The sequence below is a fragment of the Homo sapiens genome, chromosome 15, assembly GCF_000001405.40.
Source record: "Homo sapiens chromosome 15, GRCh38.p14 Primary Assembly".
Taxonomy (NCBI): Eukaryota; Metazoa; Chordata; class Mammalia; order Primates; family Hominidae; genus Homo; species Homo sapiens.
The window spans coordinates 66,842,824-66,863,082 of NC_000015.10; the positions used below are offsets into that span (position 1 = coordinate 66,842,824).

General features: G+C 50.8%; 1 long non-coding RNA gene across 1 annotated transcript in view, besides 1 other annotated feature; it reads left to right on the forward strand.

The window, feature by feature from the left end:
• The first annotated feature begins 46 nt into the window (after positions 1-46).
• Positions 47-20,259, forward strand: part of LOC105376718 (uncharacterized) — a 29,383-nt gene continuing 9,170 nt past the window's right edge. Inside the window, exon 1 of the long non-coding RNA XR_932381.3 lies at positions 47-15,848. This is a non-coding gene — a long non-coding RNA (uncharacterized LOC105376718). The remainder of the gene's footprint in view (positions 15,849-20,259) is intronic.
• Positions 8,540-8,619: a silencer, noted in NCBI's record as "silent region_6570". NCBI's record gives its function as "represses an Ori minimal core promoter by ATAC-STARR-seq in GM12878 lymphoblastoid cells {active_cell/tissue: GM12878}" and the evidence as "EXISTENCE:reporter gene assay evidence [ECO:0000049][PMID:35858748]".

The window sequence follows — 20,259 nt, forward strand, 5'->3', positions numbered from 1 at the left end:
GCGGCGGCGCCGGCGCGGGCGGGGAGGGAGGGCGCGGCTCCGGGCGCGGGGCCAGGTCGGGCGGCCCGGGGCTCCGCGGGGGACGCGCGGCGAGGACGCGGGGCTCTCGGCACCCCTCTCCCGTAGCGGGGCCCTGCCCCGGCTCTTAGAAAGAGCATTGGGCTCCGGGCCAGAGCGCCGTGGGGCCAGCGCCCCAGCCCTTAGTGAATTGCTTCATCTGCCACTCATGTCCTGCGCCCTGGAAGCTGCAGAGAGAGCCTCGGCTCCCCGTGCAAGCGCTGGGCTGACAACTGACAGCGGCGACGCTTGGAATGAGACGTCCAAGGGTTCAAGGGTCAACTCTTTCCTCCAGGCCTAGCAGATCATAGATACTCCTTCTTCTTAAACTTATTAAGGAAAAAGGCAGTCACTCATGCCTTCCGCCAACAAATATTGACTGAGCACCTACTATGCGCTAGACATGCTGCTAGGCCTTGAGGATGGAGGGGTGAATGAGACAGGCAAAGCCTCATGTTCTTTTGGTGGAGACAAGCAATAAACACTTGAATACACATCTCAGACAAGATAGTGCTGCAGATGGTGATGGGTGTCAGGGAGACTCCTCATCACCTGAGGCAAGGGGAAAAGGCATTGTGGGAGACGGGGGAGCTGTTCTATTTGAGACTCAGTGGCCCCAGAGGAAGGGCTTCCTGGGACAGTGCCCTTTAAGCTGAGACCTGAGCAAAGCGTGAGATTTAGCAAGGCAATTTTCTAAGGGAAGGTTTTTTAGATAAAGCAGACTGCAGGTGCAAAGTTCCCAGCCCTTGCTGGTAGAATGATCTCTCAGGCTCCTGAGCCCCCAAAGCACAAGATTGCACCCCTTCCTCTGACAAGAGAGGAAGCGTGAAGCCCAGATCTGGAGTCAGGCAGACCTGGCTTTACATTCTGGCCCTGGTACTCACTAGCTGTGTGACCTTGCACACATCACTTAGCCTCTCTGAGTGGTAGTTCCTGCGTCTGTCACATGGGGAGAATAATGCTCTGTTCTTTACAGGTTTGTGTGAGGATTCAATGAAGTAACACCAAAATGTTGCAAGCCCAGACTTGGGCATCCTTATGTGCTCAAACAAATGATCTCTGGGTTCCCTAAGAAGACCTCACCTTCTGCATCTGAAAACTAGGTCTCTCTGACTCGGAGTGAAAAGCGAATTTACCTTTCCCCATCCTGGTGGCAACGAGGGGGCCCATGGTAGAACTGTGCGCAGCTTGGACAAACTCTGGGAGAGGGGTCCCAGCTGGGGTTTCCTGTTGGACGCCCTTTGGAACTCAGAGCCCCGTTGACAGGAGGAGAGAGGAGCAGTTGATTGGACAGCTCCCCACCCAGCCAGCCACACTATCCGAGTCTCAGGCATTTGGTGGAGTTCAGAGAGGAGGCCTCCAGCAAGCCCAGGTCAGGGCCAAGCTGTCACACTGGTGAGGTTCATACTTCACATTCTCACCCTCTTCCCCAGGCTTCCCCTCCCTGCCTCCTTTGCTAAACTTGCCCTTCCTTGAGAAAGGACGGGAGCTCAGTCGCTTTACAGCGACTAAGAGAGGATGTCAGTCTTTGGAGATACTCCTTCATTTGACATGTGGGGAATCTGAAGCCCAGAGATGGCAGGGCTTTGCCAGAGGCTACACAGCAGTCCTGAGGATGAGAATTCATGTCAGAGACCCTTGATCTAGGGCTGTTTCTCTATGGTACTTCATAGCCTAGTTCTGCCCATTTTACAGATGGAACAAACTGGGGCCCAAAACTGTGACATAAGCCAGCAAAGGCTTCCCAGGCCAACATTAGCAATGAGGAATGAGGAATGTACTTTAGGCAGGGGTTGGGGGGAATGGGATCCTTCCAGGACCCCTCCAATTATTCGTAGACCCACCTGCTTTGAAGATGATCTCTGCCTCCCCTCTCCGCCCAGGGAAAAGACATCTGGAGAGATCTGTAGCTATCAGCTCCCCTTTGTCACCCAGGAATCCTAAATCTCCCTATCCTGACAGATCAGCCCAGCTGGGGCCCAGATCCACATTGGTGCCCTTGTCTGTCTGGCTCCCGTGAGAGCTGGCTATGATGGTTGTGCACCTGGAGGCCACTAAGGTCAGGGTGGGCACCGCCTCACTCTGCTCCAGGGCTCTAGACCAATGCCTAGGTAGGAGCTTTTTCTCAAGACTCGGACATCAACAGCCAGGCCTGGCATCAAAAGCCTCTCCTCACCTGCATGTTTGCTGCCAGCTGCTCTGAGGGGTTGCGTTTCATTTGTTCATTAGCTCATTCATTCATTCTTTCTTGCATTCAATATCTCTAGAGAACCTGCAAGGTGCCAGGCACTGCCCCACACATTGAAGGTAGAGCAGCAAACAAGATGGTGGGGCCCTGCCTCCTGGAGCTCACTTTCTGGGGTGGGGAGACAGGCAGTAAATCAATATACACAAGACAGAAGGTCAGATGGAGGTATCAAGGTGAGGCGGTGGTGCATGATGGGGGTGTTCTTTTAGACCAGGTAGTTGAGCAGCGGCCATGAAAAAGTGGGGGTAGCGGGTCGGGGGTTCCTTGCTGATGTCTGGGGGAGAAATTTAGAAAGAGGGGCCTGTAAGTGTCAAGGCCATGAGGGAGAAACATGCCTGGTGTTTTGGGGGATAGCAAGGAACGCAGTGTGGCTGGAGTGAGGGGGACAGATGAGCGCGTGGGCAGGGATGAGACTGGAGAAGGGAGGGGCCGCACAGTGGGGGGGTGGGCGGATGGGGGACCCTCAAGGCACCGAGCTGCCCCACTTATTCCGTGTCAGCCTCTGTCCAGCCCCTGCCTTGGGTGGCACCGTGCTGTCCCAGGCAGCGTGGACATCAGGAGCTCATTACAGAGCAGGCTGTCTGAGGGGCTTCTCTGCTTCTGCCACATCCTCACACCCCTTTCACCTGTCCTAAAAGGCAGGATGAAAAGGATGAGAGAGGAAGCTGGCCTCCTGTGAGAAGATGCTGGACTCAGAAATCTTTGAATTCTAGGCTTCACCTCTGAGTGACTGCATGAACTTGGAAGAGCTACTTAAACGCTCTGAACTTCCGTTTCCATATCTGGCTAAATATACTGGCAGCACAAATAGCTATGAAAGCTAAGGGTCCACCACCCCCTGACCCAGCAGGTACACTCCTAGCTACAGACCCAAGAGAAATGAGCACACGTGTCCAAAAGGCACGGACAAGGTGTTCGTGGGGGTTGTTCACAATGGCCCCAAATGAGTCAACCCTGAGGCTCATCATCAGAAGAATGGCTGAAGCCGTGTGGGATAGTTGTAGAGTGGAATATTTCATAGCAACAACATAATGAAACTGCTGATAGATGCAGCAACGTGGAAGAATCTGACATTTTGTTGAGTGAAAGAAGCCAGACACACAAGAATAGGAGCTGTGTGATTCCATTAAGCCGAATTCAATAACAGGTGAGGCTAGTCTGTGGTGAGAAAGGTCAGGATAGTGGTTACCCTTGGGGGTGCTGACTGGGAGGGGGACTGAGGGAAGCTTCTGGCATGTTGGAAGTGGTTTATAGCCTTTTTTTTTTTTTTTTTTTGAAATGGAGTCTGGCTCTGTTGCCCAGGCTGGAGGGCAGTGACACCATCTCGGCTCACTGCAACCTCCGCCTCCCAGGTTCACGCAATTCTCCTGTCTCAGCCTCCCGAGTAGCTGGGACTACAGGCGCCCAGCACCATGCCCAGATAATATTTGTATTTTTAGTAGAGATGGGGTTTCACCATATTGGTGAGGCTGGTCTCGAACTCCTGATCTCAGGTGATCTGCCTGCCTCAGCCACCAAAAATTCTGGGATTACAGGTGTGAGCCACCACGCCTGGCTGGAAGTGGTTTATATCTTGATTCTAGTTGGTATCACATGGGTTTATACCTATGTGAAAATTCATTAAGCTTGAGCTCATCAAATAATTTGAGATTCATGCAAGTTGTACCAGACGTATGTTATATTTCAATAAAAAGGTGTTTCAAAATGCCTAGCGAGCTGGTGAAGGATAAATGGGATTGAGAATGTAGCTATGCCTGCCTCAAAATAGGGCCTTGTGAATGTTCCTGCCTCCCTAGTGCCACTCTGAGGGACAAGGGGTGCCCTCCAGCAGCCAGGCTTTGTCTAGACTGTTTTGACATCAACTGCCATCGACTGCTGTGACCACCGTGACAGAGCACCAGCCAGGGTCAGGTGATATTGTGCTGTGCTGTTGGGTTTTGTTTTGTTTTGTTTTGTATTTTTTTGTTTTTGCTTTATTTTTTCTGTTGCTTTGCTTTGTGATGAGAAAATTATTGTGCTTATCATCATTAATTTTATTTATTTATTTTTGAGACTACAGTCTCGCTCTGTCACCCAGGCTGGAGTGCCGTGGCGCAATCTCAGCTCACTGCAACCTCCGCCTCCCAGGTTCAAGCAATCTTCCTGTCTCAGTCTCCCAAGTAGCTGGGATTACAGGCACGCACCACCCATGCCCAGCTAATTTGTGTGTGTGTGTGTGTGTGTGTGTGTGTGTGTGTGTGTGTGTATTTTTAGTAGAGACAGGGTTTTGCCATGTTGACCAGTCTGGTCTCGAACTCCTGACCTCAGGTGATCCACCTGCCTTGGCCTCCCAAAATGCTGAGATTACAGGCATGAGCCACTATGCCCAGCTGCTGATTATCATCATTCAATGACGCAGCTTGCTAGCGTTCAGGTCCCCAGGCCTGGTGTGTGCAGCAGAGACCCTGGAGTGGGGAGCCATCCCCTCCCTTTACAGAGGGGCAAGGTCCACCAGAGATGAGCTTGGGAGCCTTGGGTTCACCCAACAATGGAGTGGCAATCCCCACCCCCAGCCTCCCTTGGCCCACATCCCCAGTGCCCCCAGGATCAACTGGCTGCACCACTTATGCCCTTCCACCCTGCCCCAAAGTCACTGCCCCAGGCCCAGAGTGGGGAGTGATGTCCCCAAGGCAATATGGGAAGTCTGCAGCAGAGCCAGGCTAGGCCAGGGGAGGCAGGGAGATGAGAGGCTGAAGGCCTGGGCCACCTAGGCCACCTTGGCACCAGCCAAGCTTCCCCCTCGAGCCCAGGTGGGGAGGCCCTTCCTGAGCAAAGGCTAGGGGTCTGTGTCCTCTCTCAGCTCTGAAGAAGTGGTACAGTTATAAGATTAACGAGAGGAGTACTTTTATCATCAGCTCAGCATCGGGTGGGCATCCATTGTACCCCTGTCTGCCAGGTACCATGTAGGGTAAACCCTGCCGCCTAAGCCTAAGCCCCTCCTATCTCAGGGTTACAATCTGGGGTCCCCACTCTTCTTTTGGCCACTCCTTCTCACTTACCATGGAAATACCCCAGACCCATGAGACGGGTGGCCCAAGGGAAAGATTCCAGAGGTGAACGTGACCCAGCCCAGGAACTGATCTTCCCTCCCTTCTCGCCAGCCTTCAGGTGTCATTTTCAATGTCACCTCCTCAGGAAGACCTCCCCTGGCTGGCCTCCCCTCCGACCCCTGCCTGATCCAGCCTGTGGCTCCTTCCTTCTTCACCGCCTTGATCACTCCCTGTGGTCTTCTAGTCATTGGCCTGATTCTTGGGCTAGAGTCTGCTCCCCTGCTTGAGTCTGGAAACTCCTTGGAGGCAGGAGCTGTGTCTATTTTATTCCCCACTGGGTGTCCAATGGCTGTATGAGGGATGAAGGCATGATGCTGAAGAACCGCTCTGAAAGGGATGCAGACACTGAGGGGAGCCACAGCCAGAGAAGGGAAGGAAGGGTTAGTTTTGGGGTGCGTGGTGTTTGGGGCTGAGCCTGTATGGTTGCAGAGGGTTCAGGGAAAGCTGGCTGGGATGGGGTTTACAGGAGAGGGCTGGAGGCCCTGCGAGAGTGTAACCTGGACACCTGGAGATGCCAGGCCCTTCCTCTATGAGCTGAAGGTCCCTGATCTTGGTGAGAGGCCCGGCTGAAACCTCTGGCCAGGGGCCCTGTGTAGGGGAAGGCAGTTCCTGGGTCCACAGGACCCAGCCTGGGTGCCTACTCTCTGCTGTCCATAGGACTCCCAGTCCAGCCGGGAGAGGCGCTTCTCCTCCCTGGGGAGGGTAGGCGGCCCAGGCCTTTTCCATCAGTCACACTGGCCCTCCCATTAGGGCTCTCCCTTGGTGCTTCTATTTCTAGGAGTTCCCTGTGAGCCTCCAGCCCTCTCCCTGGCTGTGTGACCCAGAGAAGCCCTCCAGCCCTTAGAGAGGGTCACACAGAGAGGGAGAGGCAGAGTTGGGACTAACTCTAGGCCAGGACCTCCAGCTCCACCTCCACCAGGTGCAAGGTCCTTATTCAGGCTGGCTGCCACAGGGTGGCCCCAGCAGCAGGTCCCACGTTCTCACTGTGGTTCAGCCAGGAGCCCAGCATTCCCACACTGCCCAGGGGGGACTGCCGTTGTCAGGGGCATCTTCCCTGGCAGTGCCCACGGCCCCACACCTGAACCTGAGTTCAGGGCGCTGAGAGTGCTGGCTTCAGGAAAGCCTATTCTCTGGGTGTCTGCAAGGGTCTCTTCTGACACCCCCATGAGACTGGGTCTTCCCCAGAGCAGGGCCTGTGCCTCCTCCATCAGACTGGAGACTCCTTATTCACAGGCCCCTCAAGCTTCAACTCTCCAGTCCTGTGGCACTGAATCTCACTCCAGGATCCCCCAACACCCTCAAGGCTGGCAAGATACATCCTCATGCACCTCCTACTCCAGGCCAGGCCTCTCCGCAGGCTGGGGGTGGAGGCCTGGCCTGGGTCAGGTCGGGGTGCGGGGGACAGATCTTCCAGCCCCCTCTCCCTGGAAGGTCCTTGTGATCATGGACCATATCTTATTTGTTCCTGCATCCCCTGTGCCTATTGCAGAGACTGGCATAGAGTGGGCTCTGGTGACATGAACAAGGAGGATGTATAGAAGGTGACTTGGGATGTTCTCTGAGGGGATCCAGAAAGAAGTTCCAGGCCTCCATATCCCCATCTCCGACAGCTCCCCAGGAGCCACAGTCTGGAATTCCACTGAGGGAGATATGTCTTTGACATTCTCTTCCTGGGAATAATTCAGAGGGTTCATTTACTGCACTCAGGCCCGGAGGCTTTAGGGACTTTTGAGTCAGGAAACCGGGGTGGAAACCTGGGTGCTGGGAGATCTGGGCAGGGACGGGTGTGCCAGCCTGCTCCTCAGCCTCCAGTGGGGAAGGGGTGAGCCCCCAGGGTGGGACTGATCTCCAGACAGGCTTGCGCTGCAGGAGCCCTTGGGGCCTGTGGGAATAGCGGGGCCTCTGACAGACGCTTTATCAGGCCCTGTCGCCAGCGTTATCTGCGGCTTCTCAGCAAAGAAGGAGCTACAGTCACTCAGACCACTCCAGGCCGGGAACAAAGCAGCCGAGTCAGCTGGCGTCCCATGGCTCTACTGCCAGACCCGTGGGCTCGGCAGCCTGTGCCCCAAGCTGGGTGTTCAAGGAGGTGGCTGGCCCAGCCAGGCGACAGCCCGTCTGCTGGGACTCCCCCGCCAAGAGCCCGCCGTCACTGGGACCACCTCCCTTGAGCCTATCTTCAGAAGGGGGATGGGGCATGGGGTCACTCCAGTCCTTCCAGGGCCCTGCTGAAATGTCAGCCACAAAGGATGGGACACAGAGGGGCCTGTCCAGGAACAAGGGCCAAGTGTCGGCGTGGGATGAGGGCTGGGGCAGGGCTGGTCAAATGTTTACTTGGAATGATTTGAGTGGGCACCCTCAGGCCACGGGGGCAGCTGGCGCCTGGCACGGAGCCCCTGTACCCACTCCCATGGGGCACTGCAAGGATTCAGGCCCACCCCAGATGGGGCCTGAATGAGAAAGCACCCAGAGAGGGCAGCCAGCCAAGTCCTGGGCATGGTCCTTCTCTGCCAGTCTTTGCCCTCTGTTGGGGAGAAGCAGGAGCTGGGAAGGCCAGCTCCTCTCATTCAGGAAGCACCTGCTTCTCTGGTCTGCAGGGCTGCCAGGAATGGTTGGGCAGGTCACGCACTGCAAAAGGGCACCTTGTCGCTGAAATAAGTGGATCTGAAATTTGTGCAATGCAGTAAGGGGCTGATTTAGCCCAGAGGCTGCTTTTTGGCAATTTTCTGCTAGGAGAGGGCGCCATTGCATACCGGGCACTGGGGATGACAACATGGTTCTTTTGGTAGGAGCTCACAGGGTTTTCGGGGGAGGGTTGCCAGATGTAATACAGGATGCCCAGTTGGATTTGGGTTTCAGATAAACAACGAATATACATATATAAAATATGGGATATTATAAACACTATATATGTAATGCTTTTAGTATAAGTCCCATGCATTATTGCAATGTCTGAAGTGTCATGAGGGACACCTCCCCCCAGTACGTAGGGTTAGGGCCCTGGGGCCATGCGGGAGGCTGAGCAGCCGGGCAGTGTGGCTGCAGAGGAGCCTGAGAGGCAACAGGGACAAGATGGAGTGTGGCCTTGAAGTGCCGGGAGTGAGCGGGGCCAGGCGGGGTTGTGAATGGGACGCGCACCGTGGCAGGCTCCCTCTGGCGGCCGTGTGGAGAACAGGCTGCAGGGCGCCGCGGAAGAGGCCACCCCGTGAGGAGCCCAGAGCGCTGGGCCCCGGGCAGGGAGCGTGGAGCTGGAGAGAAACGGCTGACTCTAGACATCTAAACTTTTTATGATGGAGAACGGTAAACGTATACAAATGTAGTGAGACGAGGCACGCCCATGTCCTCATGACCCGCGTCAACCATCATCAGCTCATGGCCAATTATGTTTCATATAAACCTCTCACCCCTCCCAGCAACGGGATTATTTTGAAGCAAATCCCAGACTTCATATTATTTCATCCATAAAAATGTCAGTATATATCACTAAAAGATAAGGCCTGGATGTATTTTGAAGCTGGAGCCACCAGGAATTTGCCCGGAGCCTTCAAGCAGCTATTAAGAGGGAGGGGCCCCCACCCCAGGAAGCTCCACACTGTGCAGTTAGTTCCCTGCTCTTCTGACCACCTCTCCTAAAGCTTTCTAGTTTTTTTCTCCCTGGGACAAGTCTTCCTAGGCCTGAGCCTCTTCTCTCCCTGCTCCTGACTGTGCACCCTCCTTAAGGATGCCCCTTGGGCTGTGGTCTTGGACTCTCCAGAGCCTCCTTCCCCGAGTTCAGAGCGCCCACAGCCCTTTCCACTTCGTAGTCCCTTGAAAACAGGATTGCCTCATGTCTAGGCCTTCAAAGATGACCCGTCCTGGGAACTCAGGACAGGCAGGCACCCTGGTGAATGAGAGGAGAGCTCACAGGAAGTCACAGAACGAGGGACAGGGACACAGATTCAAACGTGAAGATACTACTAAGTGCAGAGGAGGCTCTTTGCTCTCCAGAAGGCCACCTCCTCCAGGAAGCCGTCTGGCTCTGCCTCCCTGGGAGATTTTGAGTAGGTCACTTGCCCTCTCCCGGCCTGAGACAGGAACCGGTTCCTCACACAGAGCTTCTCCCTTCTCTCCCTCCTCTCAGATTCTGCACCTGTAAAGTCCCTGGGACGGGAGGAGCTGAGGGGCAAACTGGACTCGGAGAGAAACTGCCAGGCCTCTAACTTCCGACAGGCATAGTAACCCCACTTTACAGGAGAGGAAGGTGAGGTGGGAGAGGTAAAGTGACTTGAAGGGTCCGCCAGTGTGCAGGGCGCACAACCAGGATTTGAGGGCAAAGCCAAACCCTCAGCCCTGGGCCCCAGGTGCCAGCCAGCTTTCAAGGGCCCACATCTCTGGGCAGAATCCGGCTCCGCGGTCCAAATCCCGCAACCCCGCTACCTCCCAGCCTCCCCCAGCAGCTCTGGGAGGCCAGCGCCTCCCTCCTCATTTCATTTTACTCTGGCCCCCTTCTGTGGGCTGGGCACAGTGGGCACCAGACACACCACGCTTTTCTCTCATTCAATCCTCGCGGCAGCTCAGTGAGGGACCGTCCCCATTTCACAGAAGGGGAAACGGACACTCCGACAGGCTCCAGGAGCTGCCCAGGGCCACACAGCTCTGCAGTATAGGAGTCAGGATGGAGACCGGGTCCTTTGACGGCAGGTGCTCCTTCCACTGTGTCGCAAGAACCTGCTTAGAACAGTCACCCAGTCTGAGGACCCGAGACTGCGTGCTCGTCCTGGCTTCAGCCAGCATTTCTTGTTTTTTCTTTTCTTTTCTTTTCTTTTCCTTTTTTTTTTTTTTTTTTTTTTTAGATTGAGTCTCTCTCTGTTGACCAGGCTGGAGTGTAGTGGCGCGATCTCGGCTCACCGCAACCTCCCCCTCCCGGGTTCAAGCGATTCTCCTGCCTCAGCCTCTCGAGTAGCTCCGGGACTACAGGCACCCGCCACTACGCCCAGCTAATTTTTGTATTTTTAGTAGAGACGGGTTTCACCGCGTTAGCCAGGATGGTCTCGATCTCCTGACCTCTTGATCCGCCCGCCTTGGCCTCCCAAAGTGCTGGGATTACAGGCGTGAGCCACCGCGCCTGGCCTTCTTGTTTTTTCTTACAAATAACTCCTTTATCGTGTTTCACCCACGTGCTCACACTTGATCTTCCTAAAACCCACGCGAGGCAGGTCTGATGATAGTTCGACTTTTATGGGCGAAGTGCCACAAGAGACCAGCCAGGGTCGGGGACCTTGTTCTTAAACTTTCCAGATTGTCCCCAGGCTCGCGTCGCTCCCGGGAACGGCCAATGGACGCTTGTGTTCTTCCAGCGCCCCCTACAGCCTTGCAATGGCATTAAATCACCCTGCCGGACCAGTTACTTTTGCTTGAAAAGTTTTCTTTCTTCTCAATACTTCGCTGCTGACTCTGGGCTTTTCCCTTACAAGTTTGGTTTATTTATTTATTTATTTATTTTTGAGACGGAGTCTCGCTCTGTCGCCAGTCTGGAGTGCAGTGGCGCCATCTCATCTCACTGCAACCTCCGCCTCTCGGGTTCAAGCGATTCTTCCGCCTCAGCCTACAGAGTAGCTGGGACTACAGGCGCGCGCCACCACGCCCAGCTAATTTTTGTATTTTTAGCAGAGACGGGGTTCCACCATGTTGGCCAGGGTGGTCTCTATATCTTGACCTCGTGATCCGCCCACCTTGGCCTCCGAAAGTGCTGGGATTACAGGCGTGAGTCACCGCGCCCAGTCTTTTTTTTTTTTTTTTTTTAGAGACAGGGTCTTGCTCTGTCTCCAGGCTGGAGTGCAGTGGCACGATCATAGCTCGCTGCAGCTCAACCTCCCGGGCTCAGGCGATCCTCTTGTCCCAGCCTCCCAAGTAGCTGGGACTGCAGCCCCGTGCCACCATGCCCGGCTTCCCCTCACAAGTTTGGACCCACCTCGTCCCTCCTTGCTCAACATATTTAGCAATAGTTAAAGCATGTTTATTTTCTGTAACTTCGTCTTCAGGAAAGTAAGATATAATAAAGGCTTAACCAACTGGGGAGGTCGTCAGGCTTGAGAATCACAAGGCGTGTGGATCGCCACCAGCCTGGGAACTTTAAGGGGTGAGGTCTGTGTTCCCCCATCGTCCTAGACCAAGGCTGTCCCAGGAAAGGGACTGTGTCTCCCTCAGGCTCCCCTGCCCCCCACATCTCGATGAGGCTCTTCAGAGCAATGACAGGGGCAGTGAGTGGGGAAGAGGTGTCTTCTGGCCTCTGCTTACACCTTGCGGTGGGTGACACCCTGTGCCTGCAACAGAGGAGGGGAGTCCTGTGTTCCCTGAGGCTCGGGCGGAGATTAGAAAGAGCCAGAAAGACCTGGCAGGTGCAGCCTGGGGCTCTCTCTGCACATACAGGCCTTTCTCAGAGCCCAGAGGAACTTGAACCTGGGCAGCCGTGTGAGTGAATCTTTCTGAGGGGGGCATATTTGAGTGGAAGACTGCCGTTCCAGGAGGCAGGAGCCTGGGACGGCATTCACTGGGGAAGGGGGAGGGGCCAGGAGAGGAGAGCGGGAAAGGCCAGCCCATGTCAAAGGTCCCATGGTACCCAGGTCTCCACTCTGAATGTCCTGCCGCCCACTGGTCACCCCAACCCTGAGGTCCTGCAGGTTCCTCAACCCCCATCTCCAACATTCCCGCCCACACCTCCCCCTCCTTCTGGGTTACTCCTCTTGGTTCATTCATTCATCAGGCATTCGACTAACACCTAGCTGATCATTTATCAAGTGCCAGGTGTATTTTGTTTGTTTGTTTGGTGGGAGTTTATTGAAGTATAATTTACATATTGTAAAATTAACCCTTTTTTAACGTACAGTTATATGGGATCTGACAAATTTTTAACAGATGTGTAAACACTGCCACAATCAAGATATAGAATATTTCCATCAACCCAGAAAATTCTTTCCTGCTCCTTGTAGTCAACCCCTCCTCCCACCTCCAGCCTCAGACAACCTCTGATCTGTTTTCTGTCTCTATAGTTTTGCCTTTTCCAGAATGCCATGTACATGAAATCATACAGCACATAATCTTTTTAATCTGACTTCTTTTGCTGGGCATCAATGCTTTTGAGAGTCATCTATGTGGTTGCATGTATTCATAGTTGTTCCTTTTCATTGGTGAGATGGACTGCAGTGTATAGGTATATACTACAATATATTTTTCTATTCACCAGATGATGAGCATTGAGTTGTTTCTAGTTTTTGGCAATTAATAATGCTACAGTAAACATTCATGTGTAGGTTTTTGTGCAAACATAAATGTTCATTTTTCTGGGATAGACGCCTAGAAGTGGAATTGTGGGGTCTTATGTAAATGTATGTTTCACTTGATAGAAATCTGCCAAATTCTGGCCGGGCGCGGTGGCTCACGCATGTAATCCTAGCACTTTGGGAGGCTGAGGCAGGCAGATCACTTGAGGTCAGGAGTTCGAGACCAGCATTGCCAACATGGTGAAACCCTGTGTCTACCAAAAATAAAAAAATTAGCTGGGTGGTAGTGGCGCGCACCTGTAATCCCAGCTACTTGGGAGGCTGAGGCAGGAGAGTCTCTTGAACACAGTGGGGTTGGAGGTGGAGGTTGCAGTGAGCCGAGACTGCGCCACTGCACTCCAGCCTGGGTGACAGAGTAAGACTCTGCCAAAGGAAAAAAAAAAAAAAAGAAAGAAAGAAAGAAAAAAAGAAAAAGAAATATGCCAAATTCTTATTCAGAATGGCTGTACCATCTCCAAAGCCATAATAACCTCTGAAGTTTAAATTTTAATTTGAGTGTCTTGAAAAATACCAGGAAGAATCTTATTCCTAACTGGAAGCATCACTGTTTTGGGCAAATGAAAGTTTTCCCTTCACTAGGGTAGCTGCTGGGTGTGGAAGTGATGGCTTGTACATTAAGCATATTCTATAAAAACTGCCAAACCATTTTCCAAAGTGAAAGGAGGATTGCTTGAATTTAGGATTTCAAGTCCAGCCTAGGCAACATAGTGAGAGCCTCATCTCAAACAAAAAAAAAATGCAAAAGTAGGAATGCAAAAGTACTAGAGCTTTTGCATTCCTCTAGTAATGTTTGCATTTTGATTTTTCCACATCTTTATCAGGTGCTAGTCTTTAAAAATGTTTTATTATGAAAATTGGTAATATCTGCAAAAGTAGAAAGAATAGTATTAATATAATGGGTCTCCGTGTGCTCATCACCAGTTTCGTCAATTACCCTTTCATGGCTTATCTTTTTTTTTTTTTTTTTTTTTTTTTGAGGTGGAGTTTCACTCTTGTTGCCCTGGCTGGAGTGCAATGGTGCAATCCCGGCTCACAGCAACCTCCACCTCCCGGATTCAAGCGATTCTTCTGCCTCAGCCTCCTGAGTAGCTGGGATTACAGGCATGCGCCACCATGCCTGGCTAATTTTATATTTTTAGTAGAGACAGGGTTTTTCCATGTTGGTCAGGCTGGTGTCTAACTCTGGACCTCAGGTAATCTGCCCACCTCAGCCTCCCAAAGTGCTGAGTGCTGAGATTACAAGAGATTACAAGCATGAGCCACCGCACCCAGACTTTTTTTTTTTTTTTTTTTGACAGGGCCTCACTCTGTCACCCAGGCTGGAGTGCAGTGGCATGATATCAGCTCACTGCGGCCTCAACCTCCCAGGCTGAAAGGATCCTTCTGCCTCAGCCTCCGGAGTAGCTGGGACTACAGGTGCCACCACACCTGGCTTTTCATGGCTTATCTTGTTTCATCCCCTGCTCTCCCACAATGACCAAGTTACTTCTGAAGCGAATCCTAGATGTCGTATCATTTCATTCCTATTCAATATTATGTCTAAAAGACATGGATTCCTTTTCTTTGTTTGTTTTGCTTTTGAGATGGAGTTTCACTCTTGTTGCCCAGGCTGGAGTGCAATGGTGCGATCTTGATTCACCGCAAGCTCCACCTCCCGGGTTCAAGCCATTCTCCTGCCTCAGTCTCCCGAGTAGCTGGGATTACAGGCATGTGACACCACACCTGGGTAATTTTGTATTTTTAGTAGAGACAGGGTTTCTCCATGTTGGTCAGGCTGGTCTCGAACTCCCGACCTCAGGTGATCCACCTGCCTCGGCCTCCCAAAGTGCTGGGATTACAGGCGTGATCCACCATGCCCGGCCATGGATTCCTTTTTTAAAAAGCCACAATACCCTTATCACATATAAAATGTGTGCCATTATCACTCTTCCTATCATGAACTCTCCAGTCAGTGCTCACATTTCCCAGTGTCTCATGAATGTCATCATTTCTCTTTTTTCAACTTGTTTGTTTGAATCAGGATACAAATAAGGTCACTGTGTTCCAATTGGTTTATGTGTCTTTAAGTTACTTTGTTTGAAAGTCATTTGGAATAGTTTTTCTCTTTGTGGTATTAAAGTAAATTAAAATGAAGACCAGGCCTAAAGAATCCCTGAGCAAACAAAACCAGTTAGGCTCAGAAGTAGCCAACAAACTTATAATTATATAATGAGGGACTTTCCTATGGGATAGATTAAATAAGGCAACTGTATAACTGTAACCAATCAAATATTTTCTTTGCTTTACTTCTGTGTTCCTTGTATAAAAACCCATCCCTTGTGTTCCCTCACTTCTGGTTTGGAACTGCCCAATTCATGAATTGTTGTTTGCTCCTATAAATTCTTTAAAATTTTATTGTGCCTCAGTTTACTTTTTTCTTATTTTTAGAGACAGGGTCCAGATCTGTTACCCAGGCTGAAGTGCAGTAGCATGATCTTAGCTCACTGCAGCCTCAAATTCCTCAATCCTCCTGCATCAGCCTCCTGAGAAGCCAGGACTACAGGTGCACAGCAGCACACCTGGCTAATATATATATTAGAAACAGGGTCTTGCTATGTTCCCCAGGCTGGGCTAGAGCTCCCAGCCTCAAGTGATCCTCCTGCCTCAGCCTCCTAAAGTGCTGGCAGAGGTGAGCCACTGGGCCTGGCCTCAGTTTAATTTGAATGGTGGTTAAATAATTAATTCAATGTGTAGATTTATTTGCTTTATTTTACTTTAGGTTTTTAGAATTTTTAAAGCTTTTTATTTAGAAATTTATTTAAAGATTTTAAATTTTATTTCTGGTTCCAAAATCTATCATACAAATATATCCAGAAAGGTCTAGCTTTTATGCCCCTTTCAATCCTTTCCCTTCCCCATAACTATTAATTTTTAAACATTATTCTTTATTATTACATTAATTTAATATGTATCACATACATAATGCATATGTATTCGTATCCCTCCCTCCTTTTTTTTTTTTTTTGTTTGAGATGAGGATCTCACTATGTTGCCCAGGCTGGACTTGAAATCCTAAATTCAAGCAATCCTCCTGCCTCAACCTCGAGTAGCTGGGACTACAGGTATACGCCTCCACGTTTGGCTCTTCCTTCCTTTTAGGTAAGGATTAGCATGCAATGACACTTCTCTGCCTCTTGCTGTATTCACTGTCCATCCCACTCCAGCTGTCTCTCCCTAGTAGTTGGTCAAGATTGTCCTCAGTCCCCTTTACAGCCACAGAGTCCTCCATTGTGCTGATAACCACAGGCCTCTGCTGATGGACATTTTCCTTGCTCCCATTCTTTAGCGATTACAAATTGAATTGCAATAAAAAGCCTGTGCTTACACCTTTTGGTATTTTTGCTAGTGTCTCTCTACGGTAGATTCCCAGCAATGGGATTCTTGAGTCAAAGGTTGAACATACATGCAATTTTGCTATAGCTATTGCCAAATTCCCCTGCAGAAGGCCTGCATCATTTTGCATTCCCGTCAGCTCTGGCTAGGAGTGCCAGCAGAATGCATTGCCAAACTTTTGGATTTTTGACAATCTGATAGGTAGGAAATGGTATCTCTGAGTAGTTTTAATTTGCATTTCTTTTGTTTGAGCAATGTTGATCATATTTTCACAGGGTTATGAGCCATTTGCATTTCTTTGTCTGTGAATTGTGTGTTAATATTTTTGTTTTGTTTTTGAGACTGAGTCTTGCTCTGTCACCCAGGCTGGAGTGCAGTGGTGCGATCTCGACTCACTGCAAGCTCTGCCTCCCAGGTTCATGCTGTTCTGCTGCCTCAGCCTCCCCAGCAGCTGGGACTAGAGGTGCAGGCCACCACGCCCAGCTAATTTTTTTTTTTTTTTTTGTATTTTTAGTAGAGACGGGGTTTCACCGTGTTAGCCAGGATGGTCTCAATCTCCTGACCTCGTGATCTACCCGCCTCAGCCTCCCAAAGTGCTGGGATTACAGGCGTGAGCCACTGCGCCCGGCCATTGTCTGTTAATATTTTTAGCCCATTTGTCTAGGAAGTTGTTCGTTTTTCCCTTCTCTACTTTTAGAAGCCATTCACTAGAGACATTCATGCTTTGCCTGTGATACAGGTTGCAAGTGTTTTCTGCCGTTTGTCATTTGTCTTCTTTCTTTCTCTGTTTGTTTGTTCGCTTATTTATTCATTTATTCTGGGGATGTAGCCATGAACAGGGTGACCCTGAGGGGCTCCACTGACATGCACAGCCCAAGTCAGAACCTTGGATGGTCCTGTATGCGCCTCGTCCCAACCCTTCCCTGTGCTGTCCTTTCTGCCTCTGACCCCTCTCCTGCTGCCCAGTGACCACCCTGCCCCTGTCCTTCCCTGCCTGGGCCCTCAGCATCACCCAGTCTGAGCTCACAGAGGACTGGAAACAAGCCTGTTTGTCTCTGTATCCCCCCCACGACGTGCAGGGCAACTGATCAGTGAATGAGTGAATGAATGAATGAATGAATGAATGAATCCTGTGTGGCTAAAACAGCCTCTCCGCCCAGGAAGCCAAGTCAGAGAGGAGCTTGGAAGAGCACTTTCGAGATCAAGGTTTCTTCACCCCTTGCATTCTCTTCAGACCTAACTCAGGTCTGAGTTTCTACTCCCAAATGCCTCACAGGCAATATATGATGCCTGCTTCTTTTCATGATTTAAAAGAACACTCGCTTATTGTAGAAAATGTGGAAAATACAGCAGTACAAAAAAAGAATTAGAAATTCTCCATTAACTCATTGCCCAGAGGAAACGGCCGTGGGCATTTTGGTGTATTTTTATTCAACTTTGAAAGACATATTTTATTTTTACACATTTTATTTTATACAGTATAGACATACATATGCATACACGCCTCCTCTCATGACATTAAACTTTTGCACAACTTCACAATTGTAAATGATCACAGAAAAATGCCTCAAAATGAATGTATCATATCCTAGCCCCACCACTTAACCTCTCTGTGCCTCAGTTTTCTCCTCTGTAAAACGGGGATAATAATAGTATCTACTTTATAAGTTGCTTGTAAGGGTTCAATGTGATTATGGTGTGAATGTGGGAAGCGCTCAGAAAGTATCATTTTCATTATTATTAGAACTATTATTCCTTAATTGCAAACATTTAAATTCTAATTTTATTCTATTGCAAATGACACTGTAATGAATCTCTCTGCTCGGGAGGGTTGTGTGGGAACCTCAGGGAGCTTGCTTCACCCACCCCCGCCCCCCAAATTAAGCACAACAGGGACAGAGAGAGCGAGGTGTGCTGGGAGGCCCCGTGGCTAAAAGTTAGGAGACCAGATCTTGGCACTGGCAGCCTGGGGAAGGAGGGCAAAGGGGTGGGGGTGCAGGGAATGGCATCTGTGAAAGCTCAGAAGCTTCTAGAAGAGCATGGGAAGTTCTGATGTGGTTGCTGGGATGGCAGTTCTTGTCCCTATTTGACCTATGGGTAATTGAGGGCCAGGAAAGGGGTGACTTGTCTGATGACGTGGATGGGCACCAAGTCTGAGCTTCCTGGCTCTCCACATGCCTGAAAAACATCTGTGTTTGTTGGGAGAAGGAGATGAAGAAGAGGAGGAGGAGGAAGAATTTGGGGCTTTCGAAGCATGCATGCCTGTGTGCCCCTGCCCAATCAAGGTTCAGCTGTCCTGCAAAGCAACCCAGCGGGTCCTGTGAGCTGGAGGCCAGTTTGCCCTGTTTGTCTCCATGGGTCTTTTCCCTGATGTCTCCCAAACAGAGACCGTTGGGCTGGCAGCTGGCAGGTCTCCTGAGCTCCACCCTCACCTCCCATCCCTTCAACCCAGTAGCCTTGCAGACAAAGGCTGGAAAGCCAGGTCCCATTTCCAGTCATCATCCACAGTGCATAATTAGGCAGTGCTTGCCTTGTGTTTATTTAAAGAAGGAGTGTGAACTTGGCATCAGTGCTTCTGCCAAGAGGGAAGAGCCCCGGAAGGCCCAGAGAAAGCTGGGGGCTTGGGCAGCAGGGGTTTGAGGCCTGAGAGGCCAGGCCGGCCTGTGGTATAGACATCGACAAGCAAAGTTTGAGGACTCCTGAAAGTTCTCCAAAATCTTACCTGCTACCTGTCACCATTCTCAGTCCGTTATTAGAACTGTAGCTTCTCAACAGCTTTCTAAGTTCCAAAGAAAATGCAAATTAATACTTCTTGGGGCGCCTCTATCCTTTATGGTCTGAATTTGAGAACATTGCAATAGCAGCCTCATTGCTGCACTAGTCCAAACACTTCTGTGTAACCCTCTTCCACATGCAGTACTGAGGAGTTCTTGCTGCCTACTGTTTACAGAGGGTAGTCCAAGAAATAAGAAATGTCAGTCCCACATGGTGAAAACTCTGCACTCTAGGGCTTGGGAATTATCTGCTAATAAGACCTGACATTTCTGAAGGCCATTATGAGTTAAACCTCAGGCTCAGAATGTATAATGGGGAGAGATTCTAGATACTTCTAGACCACTCTTCTCATGGAGTAGAAAAAAATGTAGAGAAACCTCAGAGAGGGGAAGGGACTTACCTACACCAGTTAACGGTAGAGCTAGGACTAGAACACAGGTCTCCTGATTTCAGTCTCAACTCTCAGGCACCATGTTGCTTCCCTCCATTCAAAGATCAGTGAGGGGGCAGTCAGCACCAGCTGGAGTGTGGCAGTGAAGAGCTCACAGTCCCTGCCCAAGAGGAGCTCCCAGAGGCTGACAAGGGTATGGGAACAGGGACTCATCTGAATCAGAGTGGGTGGAGTTTAGACAGGGGTGGGTCTGAAGAACTGTGGGGAACAGGGTGGTGAGACAGACATCAGCAAATTTCCCAAGGGGGTTAGCACAGGAGGTTGAAGGATGAATGGGGCTTCTTTACCAGGAGACATAGGGAAAGGTGTTCCGGGAAAAGGGAAGGGCAAACTCATGGGAAAAGGAGGCTGATTTCTCCTGTTCCCAGGTTACAGTGGATTCCCTGCGGGCTTAACCAGGATCCCTAGCGCTCAGTGCAGACCCTCCCACGGCAGGGCCCGAGGCTGTAATCTGTAACCTTATTGTGACATATATAGTTACAAAGAGATTGGTTGGACAGGATGGATTTTAATCGAAAAGAGTTAGCCTCTACTGGTGGAAATGCGGACATTGTGGCAGGTGATGAGAAGAATCCTTTTTGGGGTAGCAGTGGTGAAAACGCTTGCATGGGTGCGCTGGCATGCGTGCAGGGACACCTCTTCCTTGTTCTCAATTCTGTTGACTTTCAAATTGCAGTTTAAGAGCCATCTTCCCATGTCCAACTGTTAAGGTGGCCACTACCCCCTCCCTCTTCTGGACCATGCCATCCCCTGCTCTGAGTCTCAGTTTCTCCACATGTAAAATGAGGCAGGTGGACTTGCTTGTCTTAAAGGCCCCTTCTGCCTGGGGCTGGTTCTTTAGCCCAGTCTCTGCTTCTCCCTCTGCGGGGATGTCAGAGGCGCCCTCTCGTGGTCAATATTGGCCATGCATCCTTGGACTTGGCGCAGGTTTTTGCTTGGCCTCTGAGGGTG